Source organism: Homo sapiens, chromosome 3 (genome assembly GCF_000001405.40).
Source record: "Homo sapiens chromosome 3, GRCh38.p14 Primary Assembly".
Classification (NCBI taxonomy): Eukaryota; Metazoa; Chordata; class Mammalia; order Primates; family Hominidae; genus Homo; species Homo sapiens.
This window is the reverse complement of record NC_000003.12, coordinates 166162352-166182624: the sequence shown is the minus strand read 5'-3', so window position 1 is coordinate 166182624 and position 20273 is coordinate 166162352. Positions and strand designations below refer to the sequence as shown.

Below are 20273 nucleotides of genomic sequence, written 5' to 3'. Positions count from 1 at the left end.
CATTATCCTTGTAATTGGAACACAAATCCAAGAAGTGTCAGACATTAAAGGATAGTCAGGAAAAAATTCCATATTGAAAACAAAATTCCACTGGGACCTTTATTAACTGCTTGGCCAGTTCCCTTTACTGTGGATAAACTGGGCTCATACATTCCCAAATCCAACTCCTGCTATCTCAACCTTGATCTCATCGTTCTGATACGTTCAGAGACTTTGCTCTCCAATGTATCTCTTTTCTCTAATAAATTATTACTGTTTTCCCTCAGTTACATTAGTCCTGTATACAAACATACTATAATACATTTTATGGGAAGACAAAAGGAAACCTCGCTTGACCTTTTATCCGTCTAACTTCCATACAAATGTTAAGCTCCAATATAGAGCCCAACTTCTAAGGAAGCAGGTTTGCTTCTTGTTCTCTGGACATCCAGCCCAATCAGGCTTTTACTTCACTTCAGCCATTTATTGAAGATCACCAACTGGCTCTACAATTCCCGACCCAAAAGTCAATTTAAACTTGGAGGCTGGGAGCACTCTAGCCAGTAGCTGACACTGATCATCTGCCCACTGACAGAAAGGGAAAGTAGTGACCGAAATTATGCCCTGTCCTACATGGGGCTTTCTGCGCGGCTTCCTGTTGGTGTTGGTGATGGGGGAGTTGCTACAGCTCTTGCCATCTCCACGGAAGAGATAATCCCTTTGTCAATTACTGCAGCTAGAGTGCATAAGGAGAGAAAGCATTTCTGGGAGCAAGAAGTTCTTTGACATCCGTACTATACTGGGTTTACTATTCATTAAGCAGAAATGTATCTGTATTTGTGTACATCGTGTATGACAACAAGGATGTCATCTACAAAGATGTCATCACCAAACTGTAGCTGAGAACTCTTCAGAAAATGCCTGAGATGGCTACTCTGAAAATGAATATGATTATTTTGCAGAAGAGTAAGTTTCAGTCTGCAAAGAAAATGAGAAAAAGATAATAGTTTAATAACATCAGTTTTAGACAATAAGTAATGGATGAAGTGATCAAAGTATAAATAAATTAAATATTAAACTTCAATCTAGAAACAAATTGAATTAAAAAATGTTGTATTCACCGAATGGAAGGAAGCTGCATAAAATGAGGACAAAAGTGGTAACACTGCATGCCCAGCATGATGGATCTCTCATCCAGATAAAGCAGAAAAGTGACATTACAGATGCTGCCTTAAAACCATGCAGGCATCATGCAAGGTTGAAAAGATGAAATATTTATCAGTCTTCATATTTACATTCCTACTAATAGCTGTGGGATTTTTTCATCTATGGATATAATAAAGTTTATATTTAAATACATTTCTGGATATTTTTACTAAAAAAATCTCTTTTTCTCATTTCAAAGTTTAATTCTGCTTTCACTTTTATGAATATTATTTTAATTTTATGCACATAATGGATACATGACCAGTGTAAATATGTCATGAACATAATAACAGTCCCTTTATCTTTTCTTCTGTGGTTGACTTTCTAATGCTGAATGTTGCTAGACAATGTCCATTCAGGTGAATGATAAATGTAACCTAACCTATGGTACACATCCACAGTAAATGCTTTCATTATATTCTACAATGTAGAATAATTTGCATGTATAGCTCTTGGGTGCTCCATTTAAAAGGCACAATACCTTCATTACATGAATCAATCAAACTAAACAAGAACAACAAATCCTCTTTACCTGTGCCCTAAATTATCAGCTATTCTTTGAACCACTTATTTGGTTTCAGAATATTCTGTAGTTGGTTGATGTGCTAATAATAATACAGCAGGGCTTATGCACCAAAGCACTTTCCTTACCATTATCCTAGTAAATTATTCTTTTGATTGCTTTTCATGTGCCTTCCAAAAATTAAAAGAAAAATCATGTTGCGTAATGAATGTTATGATATAATGGAGAATTTTACCGCTTTTAGAACACAAAATTTTTTTTCTGTGCCTTTCATTTTAGAGATGCACTAATTGTCCACGTGTGGCATCATCTACCAGGATACTTAACTGATATTGCCAGATAGCTAGACATAATATCAAACATTAGGGACATCAGACAAAATGTCTGCAAAAATAACAACTTTGGTTCTGGCTAATAAGGATATCGGCCATAGCTTAACACTCAAAATATACCTTGCTAATCAAAAATTAAAAATAAAAAAACACTGACATATATCTGAAACAGAATATCGAGTGAGTAAAATATTTATATTTCCATTTTATCCAGAAGTCATCCTTCTAGACTCTTTTGCTGTCCTACCTTTTCCTCTCCCCCCACTCACTCACCATCCTTTATCTTCAGTAAACACTTACACACTTACTGCTCCATTAATAAACATACGCTGTTTCTGTGCATGGTTAGTTCTTTATTAGATGTACTAATTTTTATTTTGGGGCTAGTTTTTTATTTAATTTCAGATTGGTTTCTTGTTTGATATATAGCAAAATTAAAATCTGAATGTATTCATTTTTTTCTTTCATTATACAAAGTGTCTCTGTTGAGAAGTTACAAGTTTAAGGAGACAAACCAGAAATGTTGCTGGAATTTGTATCTGAACACCTTAAAACCAAACTCCTTGATGATCATCAGAAGGTATGGTTGCATTAGTTTGGTGGCACAGAGTGGAATCCATTTTCTTCCAAGTGATTACTCGGGCACCTCTTAATGCCCCACTGTCTGATTTTGACAGTAAATAGACAACTTCAGCAGTTATAACTTGAGAATTGCATAATTGGCAATGGTTAACATCCTTCAGGAATGAGGGTTTGGGTTTCTTGCATGAAATAAGACACCCAGGACAACAGAAGTACTAGCTGAGGATAATGGGAATCTAAAATAGAAATAAAAATAGAGGAAGAAAAAGTCAAGTATTAATTGTGTTCTCAAGATCAGCTGCAATGACAGACGCTGTGATTTGTCCCACTAACTTTTTACTGATATTTTTCCCCAGGAAGAAAAGCCCATGAGAATTCTGCAGTTTCTGCTTCCAGAACTTCTTATAAAAATCTGTGTCTAAGCACTTAAAGATGACAGCCATTGATTTTGCGATATACTCTTCCAGTCTCCCTTTATAATTATATAGATTTATTCCCCCATATACTGCAGTATTCCAGACTGACTGTCCTATACCTTTTCTGATATTTTCCTTAGCTGAAGAGAGATATCTAACTCTTGGCCATGTCTCTTCCCAGGGGAAACCTCATCAAATGACTGCTTGATGTGGTCAGTCAACACAGAAAATTATCCTGTTAGAACTAAATAACTTTTCTCTGGGTTTTAGTGCATTAGCAAACTACAAAGTTAAGAGTTTAAAATTTGAATGTGAGAAATACAGCCTATCTCTCCAATCAAAAAATTCAACATCTGTGGATTATAGGCTCCTTATAATATGTTACCTGAGAAGATTTCATACAAATATTCAATATAATGATATATAAATTTTAAAAATATAAGTACATTTTAACTCCAGACCTATTAAGCTTCCCCCACTTCTCTCACAAGATTGCTTCACAATATCTAACTTCAAAAGAAAGAAATTCTAGAATAGAACTCTGTCCTGGTTAATTGTCTTTTCTTTAACTGGTATAATATTAGTATTTATTATCTTTGTTTTATATAGGGTCATGGTTATGTTGGATTATTTTTTAAAATCTTGTTGTTAAGTCTCACGACTTTAATGGCATCATTAAAGTTTATTGGGAAGAAAAGCTGAAAAAGAAATTCTGTCAGATTAATTGAGCAAGTACAGTTCAGGGATAGCAAGGGATAATCTCATATATATTCACCTGTCACCTGAGAAGGAAAAAAAATTGAGCCTCCACTTAGGTGGCAAGCAACCCCACAGGCAAGGTGAAGATAGCAAGTTCAGGTACTTGAATGCAATGCAAAGTTAAGTCAATCTATATGTGACAACCATTGATTTCTCAATTTTTACTTTTCAGTAAAATTTTTAAAAGAAGTTAAAGGAGAATGTTTACAAGAACTAAGTTATTTGAGTATGCCATATTTTTTATTAGAATGTAGTCCAAACTCAATATAAAGAATAATAACATATTAGAGATAACAGACAAAATGAACAATAGCTCAGTAAAATAAATATTAATTAAGGTCATCTAAAGCTACATCTAAAGACCTTTTATTTATTAGAGGTTTTCTATAATTATATACATGAGATCTGGGCTATAAGTTTTTCTATGGGTGAAAATATAAAATATATCTTATAACAAAAGTTATTTTTCTATTTTATTCTCTATATTCCCTTATTACTCCAAATGATTTAAAATTCATTTGTTGTATAAATTTTAAATTGAAGTTGCATAAGAATGTATGAAAATGTTTTCTTTCTCAAATTACTTCAGCCATCATGCAGAAACATAACAGAGCATGGTATTAGAAACAAATACATTAAAAGAATATAGCAATTGGCGCGTGCTCTCGTCACAGAACTGAAAAATATATAGTTCACCACTTCATTCAAAACTCCCTTAAAATAGATGTATTTGTCTATAAAATTGTGAAGGTTTTGGTTGTACCTAGTGATATGATGTATTTTAATAAATTGTTAAATAAATTTCCGTGTAGGGTCATGATTATGTTTATTTTTAAATGGAATTTAAAGGTTGCAGTAACCAGTTGGTATACACAAAATATATGAGGGATTTAGTGTTCTCAAATATCTATTCACCCTTTCTTCCTGTCTTTCACTCTGATTTTTATTGGGGTACATTGCCTTCAGCCAATGACAACATCTTTCAGCCTCCCTTGTAGCTGTCTGTGTCCATGTGATTAAATTTGGGTCAATAGAACTGAACAAAAGCGAAGTGTGCAATTTCTGAGTCACATCCTTAACAAAAAAGTTAGTTGCCTCCACTCTCTTTTTCTCTTTCTTGATCTCTGAAAAACTGGCCAGCACAGAAACAATTTCTTTAACTGAAAAGAATATGGTTTCATATTATTATGTTACTTTTATTATGTTATTTTTTGTGAGGAGCATCCATTACGTTTTTCGTCTGCCACACCTTTTTTTTTTAACAATCTTGCTGTATTAGAGGAATTTGTGGCTTATGAATTTGAAGCCTCCTCCTCAGTCTTATTTGCAGTCAAAGCACAGGCATGTTACTTAGATTTCAAATGGGATTCATTCACATGGCATTTAGATTTGCAAGACAGCAGCTTGGAGCAGGAGCATCTGTACACTGTCAAGGCAAGGTGACAGAGGTGCGGCCACCACAAGAATGCACACCAGATCTCCAACTCTGGGGAGTATAATTAACCACAAGGCTCAACTGCTGTCCTCTGAGAGCCACCTGCACTGAGGCCATACTCCCACATGGCTGCTCAATGAGTGTTGCAAGATACCAAGGAAGGGCCTATTCCTGTCCTCACAACTGACTTCAGCTGGAAGACACCCTGATGGACCTTCCTGAATAATCCTTAGACTGCAAAGCAGCCAGTACACCTCCACCTACCCTAACTCCCTTTTTCTGAGCTCAGACTTGGTTGGATGTCTGATGGTTCTCCCTGCTATTCTAGCATGCTGTCATTTACTCTCACGCAGATATTTTCCCTTAAAAATCCTTGCATGTTCCGTTCTACATAGGTGTCTGCTTCTAGGAGGACCGGGATCAGTGCAAGAGGCATTTAGCTTTGAAGGAAGTCAATGGCTGCAAGATGAGTCCCTAGCACCAGAGTAGTAACAAAAAGGGAACAATAGACACTGGGGTCTACTTGGGAGTGGAAAGTGTGAGGCAAGAGAGGAGCAGAAAAGATCACTATTGGGTACTGGGCTTAATACCTGAGTGATGAAATAATTTGTACAACAAAGCCCTGTGACACGAGTTCACCTAGGTAACAAACCTTTACAGGTAGCCCCGAACCTAAAACAAAAGTCAAAAAAATAAAAATAAAGAAGCTCCCGTAAGTGAAGGAGAGAGCTAGATAGTGAGCTGTGAGACTATGCTTCTAGGGGAAATTTCCCAGTCTATATGTTAGAACTTCCCTGATAAGGAAACATCTACCAAAGCCCTCACCAGGAACTGATACCAGGACCTTGACTTTTCTGCAACTCATCACGGAAATATATTAAAGGTGGCAGATGTTCCTGTGAGTTTATATTAGTAAGACTAATAGGGAAGTGGATTACAAGAGCTTTAAAAGTTCTCTTTTCAAGCAGAAAAGATCCCTGTATTATAGAAACACATATATTTGATAAACAAATATCATAAATTTTCATATATTTCTTTAATTGTGATACATTAATTTCCTTTTGAAAATGAATGGATTGATAAGAAAATCAAAGCCACACATTTGTATAAACTGGTGATTCCACAGATTTGTGAAAAATTCTAGTGGAAAAGCCAAGTCCACTGCACTGACAAGAAAACAGTCTAAATGCTTAAGGAGTGATCCCAAAACTAAAATTTGAAATGCTGTGGAAATGTTGATTTAAGGGATAGCTTAGTCCAGGAGCTTGGCAATTTTCCTCAATGGTTTCCATTTTCCAGCCTATACAACTCAATTAAAGATTTATGCTTCAAAAGATCCAAAGATTCAAAAGTAATCATTCAATTTGGATCATGGAACCAAACACAGTAGAAGGCATTTTGCAGTTTTCCCTTGTTTCACCTGTGGAAATATTTCTTCTAAGTTTAAATAATAATGTTTTCACATGGAGAACTTCGAATGGCATCAGTAAAAATCTGTGAACACTTATTTTTAGAAGGAAAGTGAATTATTTATAAGTTTTTTCTTACTTTCAAGTCAAGTCATGAATCATTGTGTATGCCAGATCTGTTCTGTTTCACTTCATGCCTCGTTCTTCCATAATCACTCCTACATACAGCAGCTCTAGTAGAAGATGTGAATCTGTATCTGTACATTTAATTACTGTTAAGCATATTTTATAAAATTTTGCATGCCCGATTATCTAGATAGGATCGGAAACTTTTCACATTATAAATTATGATGAATTATTAACATCAGGCATAGTAGTTTAATTTTTAAATGAACTGAAGAATTATTGTTAAAATATAGGGAACAAGAAAGTATAATAAAGATGTAGTGCAATAAAAGTGATTATCTCTGAGTAAGGACAATGGATATCTTACAATGAACAATTGATTATCTCTGAGTAAGGACAATGGGTATCTTACAATGAACTCATTGCACCACTAAGTGCTATGTAAAAATGAAAGGAATGGCAGTTCCTGGATTTTTTTCCTTTCTGTAACTGAGATGGTACTGAGAACATGTGCTTATTAAAAATAAATAAATCCTTTGTAATGAAACATAGATTTTATCTGTGACATCAATAGCAATCTCGCAGAATTTCAATTAAAATTAAAATAAGTTGTATACAGAATTGTTCTGTATATAGAGCATTGTACATTTTATTCTCACTAGCATGTAGTATTTACTCTTGTTAACAGAATTTTCCTCACCTGACATTATTCAATCTTCACAACTCTAAAGAAAAAAAAATACATGTTCCCCCATGTTTGCAAAATTTCTTAATAACTTGGCTCTATTATTTTTTACTTTTATAGGGCTTATAATTAGGGTATCTGTGAATTATACAGGTTTGTCAAAATCATGGCTTCTACCGCAATGGATTCTCCATCTCACACTTAAGGGAAAGTTTGGTCGCGTATAATTGATTTACTTTAATGTTGCCCATTCTTTGGTCCTCCAGATCCATTGTCTACTCAGACTCTGCCATTCTCTACTTTCCTGGTGTCATGTATCACCCGGGTTTCCTTGCCTTCTGTCTTTTGGTTAAAGTTGGTCAAACAGAGGTACCAGCAGAAAAGTCAACGGAAGGAAGAAAGGTCAGCTCTTTTCTCAGCTTTCCTATTCCAGAAAGTACTTTTTTCGGTGATTGGATTATTTCACATTCAGCTATATCTCCTGGTAGGAAATGACTTTCGTGACTATAGCTCATATTAGTTGCTGTTAAACCACCCTCTGCCTTTGGTCCTGTGGTCCTAGGGGTAATAATGACTTCCTACTTTTGATAGTCCCTGATCTCGCCATCCATTACTGGTTCTCATAAATTTGTTAATATTATTTTGTGGTTCCTACGTGAAGTTCTCCTCAACTAACATCTCTGAGTGTATCATCTGTTACCTACTAGGAACCTGATTGATACAATAATCTATACCCATCAATACTCTATCAGTTCAAAGACACAGATACTCTTAAGGAAGCGGCCAGATTCCTTTGAGAATGAATTCTGCAATGCAAACACTAAATGTACACTCTAATTCTTCCTTTTAGCCTAAGCTACCACAAAAGGGAACGTTGGCCATACATTAAGTTTTCTCTTTACTCTGAAAAGTGAAATACATCCTTCTGTCTCAGAACTGATACTATCTTGTATTTCCTAGGAAACCAAAATGCTACTAAGGTCTTTTAATTAGAGAGAGGCTAAAGGAATTTAGGTGACAGAGAGAGTCTTAATCTCAGTACTTAATCTCAGTCACAAAGGTTTTGGTGAGACTGCAGACATATACTGCAGTTATTTCCTCAGCTTCAAAACACAGAATGATTTAATGGATTTAGTGCTCTCTCTCTCTCTGTCTCCCTCTGTGTGTGTGTGTGTGTGTGTATGTGTGCGTGTGTGTGTGTGTTTGTGTGTGTGTGCGTGTAATGAGAGGCACCTCACAAAACATAGTTAGGGCTAATTTGTAGGCCAGGCAAAGTAGAACTACCTCTCACCCCTTACTAAAATAATAACCGAAGCCATATTCTATATCTGAGAAAATTGAAGATGTTAGCGCAGAAGCCTGAATGTTGCTAGGATGCTCATTCTTATCACATTTCTATTTAATTATCCTACTTGACCAGTGCCAAAATCTGATGGGTCCGAGAGATTAGATGTGGACTATTATAAACTTATACAGTGGTGACACTAATCATACCTGTTAATTCCAGATGTGATTTATGATAATTATTGCAAATCAACACATTCCCTGTTTTTCAACTAATGAATTAGCAAAGGCTTTCAGTTAATTCAAGAGCCAAGAATAGAAATCCTCCAAGCCCTGGCCTAGGTGATAGTTTTGATTACAAGGAGACTAATGGAGACAAGTAAGAGTATACTTAGAATTCAAGACAATTTCTGGGCTGCCTTTTGCTATTTTTGTTCTGTTAAAGAACACCAAGTAAAACTTTCCAACACACCAAGGGCTGGCTAAAAGTAAGGGGCACATGGAATGCTGCTAGAAGGACTCTGCGATTATCATCTTAGGTTTTAAGACAAAGGACAGATGTGGGGTTTGCAGCACTAATTATTTTTTATTATCTCCTGATTTTCCCTGCTTCTTTACTTGAAAACTACTGGGAATGATTGAATTAAAATCCTCCTTAAATGACACAAAGGCTTATGAGAGGTTTACATTTTCTCTTGGTTGTTGAGTTGATTTGCTTTCTACGTAAACAAAGGATAAGCATAGATTTTTTGCCCCTCAACTCTACCTGCTGTTAATCTCTGATCTTCTCTGTTTTCTGGGAGTTTCCCCTCTATGAACCTTATTATCCAGGCTTCCTTTTACCCTCTAATGTCTGGTTGGTTTTGACCAAGCGGAGGCACAAGGATGAAATTAAAGGGAGGAAGGAGGTAGAGCTAATAGTATTTCTCCACCTCCATTTCTTTCTACCTGGCCACTGCTTTTGCCCCGGCCTTCTCTTCTTTCTATGGTTACATCTCTTACTGAGAAGACCTCCCTCAGTGCTAAAGCTCCTGTTACCATCCAAGATGAAGTGACAATGAGAGGAAATTTTGATAAAAAAAAATTTGGATATTTCTTATCAGAGTGTGTTTGACCATCCCTTGTGGGTTCCCTTAATTTTGACTACAACAGGTCAACTTTGCCAGAACACTGACTGATGCAACATTAAGTTGAAAACAGCATTTCATTTAGAGGCTATAATGTACGATGTTCAAGGACTCTTTGAGGAGATTCAGATAAGGCATTGTAAAAAAATGTGACATAGAGGTGGTGATTTTAGAGTGACACTGACAAATATATAAAATGATCTCTGTTCAAAAAATGGAAGAAAATATAAAAATACATTTTCCTATAAAGTTTTCCAATATCATTTTCAATGTTAATTTAATTACTTTGGAAAAACCTTCAACATGAAAATTTTAGAACACGTTTTAGGAAATAAATAAGTAAATTTAAAAAATTCATAATAAAACAAAAAAGCCTAATTTCTAGTACGTGTAGTAATCAAGGCTCCATACAAATTTTTTAATTAGTTTTGATGATTCAATATTAATTCAATGTCCCTAAAGAATGTATAGCTCTTCCTCATAAATGTACCAGAAAACAAATAAACCCTCCTGGCAATACTAAGCATGACTATATAACAACCTCGCAGTAAAAAGTAAATAATACAGACACACAATTTTGTCCTGTATCTTCAACAAACTCTGTTTTTAAATTTAATCTTGACAAATTCCATTTTGTAATTTTTCTGTGACATAAGGGTAGCCGAATTTACTTGACAATTTTTTCTTCTCTAAAGTTTCGTGAATAATTATTATGAAACTTTTGTACATGTAATCACTCAAGGAGCTAGTTTAAAATACCACTTCCTGGGCTTCACCCCAAGAAAATCTGATGGAATGGATACTGAAATTTTGAAAATCTGCCTCTAACACTAGGTAGTTTATTCCCACGAAAAAACATTGCTATAGTCAGCAAATTAAATATTTAGGATAAAATGTAAAATGTCATACAAATTCTAAGAATAGGTAAGAAGTAGATAAACAAAAGGTAAGAAGAAAGAATTGGTCACAGACATCCAGTATATACAGATTTTGAGAGTTGGAGATTTACTATCCTTGAATATTGTCCTGCGTACACATAGAAGCACAGACTGTATTTATATAGCCATTCCCCAGTTTGTCTACTTGGTTCCATAATTTCTATCATGGGAAACATAATTACTGGTTTTAATAGATTCTAATGTATTATAATCTCCCTCCATAATCGGTTCCTAAAAATATCTTTTTTCTGAAGTTTAGTGTCAACTTTTTGTTTTATTAAAATTTAACTTTGTAACTCTTAGACAAAAATAGCTACATTTGTAACAACACAATCATTATGCTTTTACGATATATTTCCTTCGCTGTTTAAAAAGCACTTTTATGCACACTATCCCATTTGATACTAATATGTACTTGCTTATTAATCATCCACCGACACACAATTACATAATTATTATAAATAAATCTTATTGTTCCAGTGGCTAAGCAAGAATGAAAGAAGTAAGACAAACAAATATAAAACTCTAAAGGAGACAGTAACAGATCAATTTTTAGTCATTTGCCTTTCCTAAGTTTATGAAAAAGATATGTGATGTGTATATACATATAAACACATTTGTATAATTTAATTCTTTCAATAGGAGTTGAAAGAATGCAGTTGCTGCCTACAGAGGAGAATTTACAAAATGATCAGAAAAAGTATCCTGAAAAATGCTGTTTATGTCTCTAAGAATTGTTTATCCTTCCAATATTGGCAGAACACCTACAGCTTAGAGACTGCTTTTAATAATTTTGTACACTTATAGGCTGTCAAAAAAAGAGGAAAAATCAATCTCTTCAAAAAGTTTTATAAAATGGTCACTTGCTTTTTGAAATAGAATACAAAACAACAACAAAAAGTAGGCCTTACTTTCTAGCCAGGGCAATCAATGGCAATAAATGAAGCAAAACACAAAAATGTGATAATTCTCATTCTGAGAATAGAGAGAAGTTTGATGAAGTATGGATTCATTCAGGAGGGATGAATTAAGAAAATAATCATTGAAGTATAGAGTCTAAATTTAAAGATGCAGGTAGAAATTTAATAAAGGAAACTAAGGTATATCCTTCAGGATGAAATAAATTGTATGAACAAAATAAAATCAAATAGAAAGTAAAAAGGAAATAAGGAAATACTTTAAAGAAGAACAATGTAATACATAGTTACAAAGAGAGAATATACATTGCTTTTCATAAAGAATTTATTCAGTTTATGAGTTGCAAAGACAACAAAGTCTTATTTCAAGTGAACACTTATTATGTATGTATCAGATTTCTATGGCAAAATTCCCCACAACTTAGAGTGTTCAAACTATTATATATTATTCCCTACGATTTTGTAGGTCGAGAACTCATTCATGCATCAGCTGGGTAGTTCTGCCTTAAATGGTTAATTCTCAGGCCATACATGGAGCTGCATTCAACTTGAAACTTGACTGGAGCTGGGTTTCCAAGAAGACCTCATTCATATGACTGGAAGTTGATGACAGCTGTGAACTTTAATTTTCCTCTGCATCATCTCTTTTTCTCTAGTGGTATATAGGTGGCTGTCCAATGGAAGTGACGAGGTCGCATAGGAGCTAGGCAAACAACAGGTGAACTGTCACTTCTACCAATTTTAATGGTCAAAGCAAATTCAATACAGGTATAAGAAAATTAGAAACCAACTCCTTTAAGCATAGTGGGGAGAGAAATCTTTAGCAGCTGCCTTTGGAGAATATTTACCATGGCACCTTAGAAATAGTGTGTTATAGATCTACTAGATCCAGTAGATAATCTTCTTTTTCTAAAAACTCTGAAATGATGCAAATCCCAAATTTGTTTAAAAATCCATCTGTAGTTGCATAAACTAAAAATTGGCAGGCGAAAAAATTGAATGCTATAAATACACTACTGCCATATGACTCCAGTCAACTTCAGCTGGTAACATAAAATAGCAACCAAACTATGTAAATTTAGTTGGAAACAGGTTGCTGTTTATGTGGATTGGAATTTCTGCCACAACTTTAGCAAATGTTTTACTGTTATTTTAATATTCTTCTTATAAGTTAAAATCTTCTTTCTACTCTATAGTAGCAATTCACTAATCTAATGCTGAAAATACACCCCCAAATTTATAAACTTTAGAATATGTCAGATGTGATAATATATTATAAACAGGGTCAATTATTATTATATCAGAGAATGTGAATGACAATGTAGACATTTTTAATAAAATGAAAAGTGACTATAAATTTTTTAAAAATCTTCTGCAATAGTTTAGGATTTATAAACTAAGGACACTCTCCTTTTCCGACTTTTCCTTACATACTTTAGTTTTATTTTTGTGGAAAATTTGATTCAAAATAGAGTAACCATGTTTCTTTTGTACATGCATGTGAATACCCTGTATTATAACAGAAGGAAAAACTTAAAACCACAGTCTGGTCAGCCAATGTCAAATACAAGAATATTCCATTTTCTAATTTTTTTCTTATGTTGCCTTATCATGCAAGATAAGTGTATTTAATGAATATGAAGTAGAGCCCCACATAAAATGGATAAACCTCAGGAATAAGTATGTAAATACATCAATAAATAATTTTCACTTTTTGGGTGAACACACTAGGGATAAATGAGTTAGCAGTTCAGAAGCACACATATACAAGAAGATTCAATTCAGTGGTCATGCAAACATTGTGACATTGTGTGTTAATTTGATACACTGAACTCAGACTACACACAACTATTTACTTAAAACTACACAAAACAAAACAAAAACACCTAACCAGTCAAGGCATAGTCTAAAAGAGTTCCTTAATATTATAAGTATTGCCATTTATATCTGGAAGCAGAAAACTAGACTGTGAAATCACTGAATCTCAGAAACAAAGGTAACAGATTTGAGAGGCAATAATGAGAGGAAGTAACATGCCTTCCTTTATGTTCATTATATGGAGACAAATCTGTTTTTCTGTGAAAAACCTCTTTTAGAGTAAACTTGATCAGCATACTTGCAACAGATTATACAATAGTCAAATAAAGACTTCTCAGGCTATGTTAAAGAGATAAGACTTTTATCCTGAAGGTGGTGTGGAGACTTTAAAGGTTTTTACAAGAAAAGTGACAAGATTTAAAAGGTAACAGTGGCAGTAGTGTGAATAAAAATAGATAAAGTAGTTCCAGGATATTACAGTAAAAATTCATCACAAAAGTTACAGAGAAATAGAAAGAAATGAATGGAAGTGATAATAGAAGAGATGAAAAAGAATAAATTAATCTGAGATTTATATGGTAGGATTTTAAAAATCAATGGTTTATTTAATTAGAAAAGAGAGAGAGAAGGAGAAGAGTCCAGTTTGTTACATTTGGATGAAAATGTCATTAATCAAGATTCATAAAAAAGGAGAAAAAATACTAGCAGGTGGATGAGTCCATTTTTGAAAATAGAGAATATTTTGAAAAGAGAAATAAGTTATCTTAATTTTCTTTTTAACAACAAAAATAAGTTTTTATTCTAAATAAATATCAAAACATAAGATCAGAATCATTACATTTTATTTCAATGTTTATTGTGGGGGGATTAATTTATTCACATAATAACACATACTGAATAGTGCACTATGTATTTCTACTGACTTATATTTCTACCATTATATAATTGGCATAATTTCAGCTGATTCTAAGAAGTTATTACTACTCTTTGACTTGTTTATTTCTACAACCTAGAACAAATAAATTGCTAACTCTAACATATTTGTTTCTAAACATAATATGAATTTTATTTCTTCAGCCAACGAAAGCTGTAATTGAAAAAATAAATGTACTCACTCATTTTGTTCTGTGTTTCATTGAATATGTTCTCATTGATCTTGTTTAAAATAAACTTACTAGTATATAAAATGCATAATTATTCTAGATAGTAAAAAATAACACAGGCTACCATAGAAAAGAAGTGATAAAAATTGGGGAATCAATAAATTACTCAAAATGAAAATTGAGAGAAAAATAAAAAGTTTGATAAATAGCCAAAAGCATTCTTATACATTTTGCAGCTTGTCTTCAAGGACATGTATAACATATTGCCTGATTTTCTCATCACTAAAAATAAAAATTTTACTACTATGGTAATAAGCTTGTCATAAAATAGAATGAAAATCTACTATTCTGTACTTTCTAAATGAGAATGTTCCTTTATTAAAATTTGCTCTTGAAATTTTGAGGTTACATAAAAATTAATTTTGAGTTTTGAACCACCATGTTTTGTATGAATTATGTCTTATTAAAATTTTCTAAATTGCTAAATTTAAACATATATAAATATTGTATGAATTTTTGCAGTAGCAAGTCTTCAAATTACATATTTAGAGTTTCAAGAGCATCTTTTTTCAGATGTATATTAGTTTCGACTTTTTAAATGTATACTTATTTTTCAAAGATAGATTGTACTCTTATGGAACATTATTTTTTAAATAATTTGATATTGTTTTAAACACTGTGATAGCTGCTGGATATAACAGTGTACGAAGAAGCAATGGTTTCTACCTCCAGAGATTAATGTTTTAATAACAAAACTGCATGTTTCTATGTAAGTGCCTAGAATGGAGATTCTATATGAAAATCCTCTCAGATGGAGTGATGCTGAAGCTAATATAGGACAAATGAGATAGAACACTAGAAGAAAAGAGAGGTGAGGTTTATTTTTATGCAAGAGAAAGATATACAAAAGCTTAGAGATAAGTAAGAACATCGTGGATTCAAAAACAAAAAAGAACAGGGCATGAGCTCACATGCCTGTAGACCCAGCTGTTAAGGAGGCTGAGCCAAGAGAATCATTTGAGCCCAGAGGCTGCAGTGAGCTATGATTGCCCCACTATACTCCAGTCTGAGATCCCAAATCTTAAAAAAAAAAATACATTAAAAAAAGAAAAAATATTTTCTACATAGCTAGGGCTTGGAATGTAAGAGGAAGAATATCAAAATAGAAGAAAAAACATGAAGAGGAATTAGATATTAAACTGCCTCCTAAAATAGGTAAATGGGCTTAATCTTTACAGTAAAAGCAATCAAAACTCATCAAAAATGTTCAAACAGGAAAAAATAATTTTATATTTGCATAAAAATGAGATAACTTGCTGCAGTGTAGAAGACAACCACAAGCAAAAATAGGAGTACCAGAGTCTAATTCAAAGACCCTTTTAGTGGACAGAAATTGGAAGATTGTGGCAGAAACAGCATAGAGAAAAGTAAATGATTTAAATTAAGGATAAAATGTGAAAAATAAACAGAGTCAATTTTATAGTTGTAGTACTCAAGGCTGAGATTTTTCTTTATTCTGGATCTCTTCCTGTAAGAATACAAATAAACCACTTCTATCATGGATGACAGATTTATGTAACTTAAAATTTGCAAAAGTCAAACTTACTCTTGAGCCCCATTCCCACTATAGAAAGAAAAACATTTCTCAAGAAAATCAATCTACCCAGAGTTTTATCTAATATTAGAAAAAATTAGTACTTTTATTAAAAATGTTTATTTACCAGGAATTACCAATAAAATATAAATAAGAGCTGATCTCTCAGCAGAAACAATGCAAATAATGAGAGCGTAATAATATCATCATGATACTCAAAGAAAAAAATAAACTGCTGAACAAGAATACTGTATTCATCCAAGGTACCTTCAAAAATAAAAGCAAAATACTTTCCCGGAGAAATAAAAATGGAGAGAATTTGTCGTTAGCAGAATTGCCTTACATAAAATACTAAAGGATATTCTTCAGACTGAAAGCACATGATCCCAGGTAGTAGTTAGAACCTACATTAATAAACAAAGAGTGTTGCTAAAGTCATTTTTTAATTATAAAAGACACTATAAATACTCTTTATTCTCCTTTCTTCTATTAACCTATCTGAACAGTAATTGTATAGAAAAATATGTATATGTGCTATTGGACTTATAATATACAGAAATGTAATTCACATGTAATATATTTGCCAATAAAAGAACAAAGGAGTTGGGTGGGAACAACACTTTAATGAGCTAAAAACTGATTACAATTGGTAAAATAATTATAAAAATATATTGTTAGGCTTGTAACATTAATGAATATGGTATGTATAACAATAATATTACAAAAATGGGGAAAGGGAATAGAGCTATATTTTTATACCTTTTTCTGTTATTAATCTAGTATAAATCTAAAGTTCATAAGAATATCTTGAGATATATATTAAAAAACCCTACAGCAAGCTCTAGAAGTAAAAATATATAGAAAACTATAGTGAAGAAATCATTAATGAAATTTAAATGTTACATTAGAAAATATTCACTTAACACAAAACAAAGCAGTAAAAGATTAACAGAGGAGCAAAAAAGACATGAGACATGGAGCAAAGAAATAATAAAATGCAAATATAAATCCAACCATATTAATATTATTGTTACATTTGAATGGATTTAAAATTCCATTCAAAAGGCACAGATTGTCAGACTGGATAATATCAATGACCCAGCTATATGTTGTCTATAAATGACACACTTTAGATTCAAGGACATAGCTAGACTGAAATAAAAAGAAGGAAAGCAAAGCATAGCAAGCTAGCAGTAAACATAGGAGGCTAAAGTGTCTTCACTAAGATCACATGAAATAGACTTTAACAAAAAATGATAGTAGATATAAAAAGGGGTATTTTATAATGATAAAAAGGGTCAATTCATCAGAAAACTATAACAACTATAAGTATACATGCACCAAATAACAGAGTACCGAAATGCATGCAGCCAGACAGATAGAAATAAAGGGGAAAATAGGCAAGTAAAAAAATAATACTCGGAGACCAAAACACTTCACTTCCAATAATGGATAGAACACTAGACAAAAGATGAGCAAGAAATACAATACCTATACAACACTATAAACTAACAATAGCTAACAGATATTTATAGAACACTTAACTGAGAATTAGAATATATATTCCTTAAATAGTATGGGATATTTCCAGGATAGACAATATGGTACTTTATAAAACAGCTTCATTAAATAATTTAAAAATACAAGTGTGTTCTCTGATTGGAATAAAAGAAAAATAGAAATTAATGACATAAAAAATGGAAGAAACTCACACGCATTTAAAAATTAAACAACATACTCCTGAATAACTATTAGGTCAAAGAATAAAGAAAATGAGAAATCAAAAATGCATTGAAATGAATTAAAAGTAAGAAAAATCATACCAAAATTATGGAACACGACTACAACAGAGCTTTAAGAAAAATGTACAGCAATAAACAACTATATTAAGAAATAATAAATATCTTAACTCAATATCTTAACTTTCCACTATAAGACATTGACAATATAGCAAATTTTACCCAAAGCAAGGAAAATAAATTAAAAAATAAAGGTTTGAGCAGAAATTGAAGTAGAAAATATAAAACAATCAATGAATCCAAAACTTATTTTAAAAAATTAACAAAATTAACAAACCTCTAACTAAATTGACCAAGGATAAAAGAATATTTACATTACTAGAACAGGAAATGAAAGAAGAGACTACTACTGATATTACAGAAATGCAAAGAAAAATAAAAATAATGATATAAGAATAAAAATTGGATACCATACATGAAATGAGAAATTTCATAAGAAGACACAAACTACCAAAGCAGACTCAAGAAGAAATAAGCAATCAGAATAGTACTATAACAATTGAAGTGATTTAGTTAGTGATCAACAAACGATCTACAACAAAAGACCCAGGTAAACATGGCTTTATCTCTGAATTCTAACAAATGTTTAAAAAATAATGCAGACCAACTTTTTACTCATTCTTTAAAAAATGGAAAGAAAACAAAAACCTTTATAATTCACTCTATAAATCCAGCATTACCCAGATATCAATACCAAACACACACAACCCAAGAAAGGCAAATTAGAGACCAATGTCTGTTATGAATATGAATGCAAAAATTCTCAATAACATCCTAGCAAATCAAATACAGAAATGAGTGAAAACAATTTTATACCACGACCGAGTAGGATTTATCTCAAGGAGGTTTTGTAATATCTGAAAAATTAATTAATACATTATTTTAACAGAATAAAAACAAAACTTACATAATTGTCTCAACAAACGCAGAAATAATATTTGAAAAAGTTGACCACTTTTTCATAATTAAAAAAAACCTCTTAGCTAACAAAGAGTATAAGGAAATTCCCTCAAACTGAAAAAAGTCATATATGGAAAGTTCTTAGATGTTATCACAGATAATGATAAGAGACAAAATGCTCTTTTCCTAAGATCAGGAGCAAAAAAAGAATGTTTATTCTTGCCATTTATGTTCAACATTCAGCTGATAGTAAAAAAAAATGAAATAAAAGACATCTAGATTTGACATGAAGAAGTAAAACTATCACTATTTGCAGATAACGTGATCTTGTATGTCGGGAAACCTAATTAATACACTAAAAACTATTAGAATTAATGAGTTCAGCAACATTTCACAAGACTAATACATAAAATTCAGTTGTATTTTATACACTTGCAGTGAGTAATCTAGAAATAAATTAAGAAAACATGCCTTTTGAAGTAGACTATAAAAGAATAAAGTACTTAGAAATAAACTTAGCAAAAGAAGTGCAAAACTTATACCCTGAAAATATAAAACAGTGTTTAAATAATTAAAGAAGATCTAAGTAAATTGGAAAATATCCCATGTTCATGGATGAAAGCCTTAACATTGTTAACACGGCAATATTCCCCAAGATAATATATAGATACAACAAATCTCTATTTAAATATAATAACTACTTTGTAAAGATTGATAAGCTGATTCTAAAACTCAGCTTATTGTAATTGCAAAGGATGCAAATTAGCCAAATCAACTCTGAAAAAGAAACAGGTAGGAGAATCTATACTTACCAATTTTATGACTTAGTACAAAGCAGTGGTAACTGAGAGTGTGGTAGAGCACAAGTGTAAACATACAGATCAATCAAATAAAATCGTGAGTCTAAAAAGGCTCATACACCTGACATTTAAAACATGTGGCAAGACCATTCAATGGGGAAATAATAGTCTGTTAAACAAATAGTCATGGGACGACTGGATAGACAGTTGCAAAAGAATGAAGTGGGATTCCCATCTCACACTCTTTATAAAACATGAACTCAAAATGTACCAAAGATCTAAATAAGTGTAAAAAATAAAAATTTGGAAGAAAATACAGGTGCTATTCTTTATGACAAGCAGAAAGACGAGCCTGATAAATTAAACCTTAACAAAATAAAAATTTTTTGTTCTTCAAAGAACATCAAGAAGATGAAAAGGCAGGCCATAGAGTGGGAGAAAATATGTTTAAGTTATATATGTATTAAGGGATTTGTATCCAGAATAAAGAACTCTTTAAAGTCGATATTAGGTAAATAAAGATGTTAAAAATAAGCACAAG

At 32.4% G+C, this 20273-nt stretch overlaps 1 long non-coding RNA gene and 1 pseudogene across 1 annotated transcript in view; one reads left to right on the top strand and one right to left on the bottom strand.

Moving 5' to 3' along the window:
* Positions 655–1314, top strand: MCUR1P2 (MCUR1 pseudogene 2; annotated as a pseudogene).
* LOC124909497 (uncharacterized) overlaps positions 12026–20273 on the bottom strand; it is a 69072-nt gene continuing 60824 nt past the window's right edge. The window contains exon 2 of the long non-coding RNA XR_007096287.1: positions 12026–12421. This is a non-coding gene — a long non-coding RNA (uncharacterized LOC124909497). The remainder of the gene's footprint in view (positions 12422–20273) is intronic.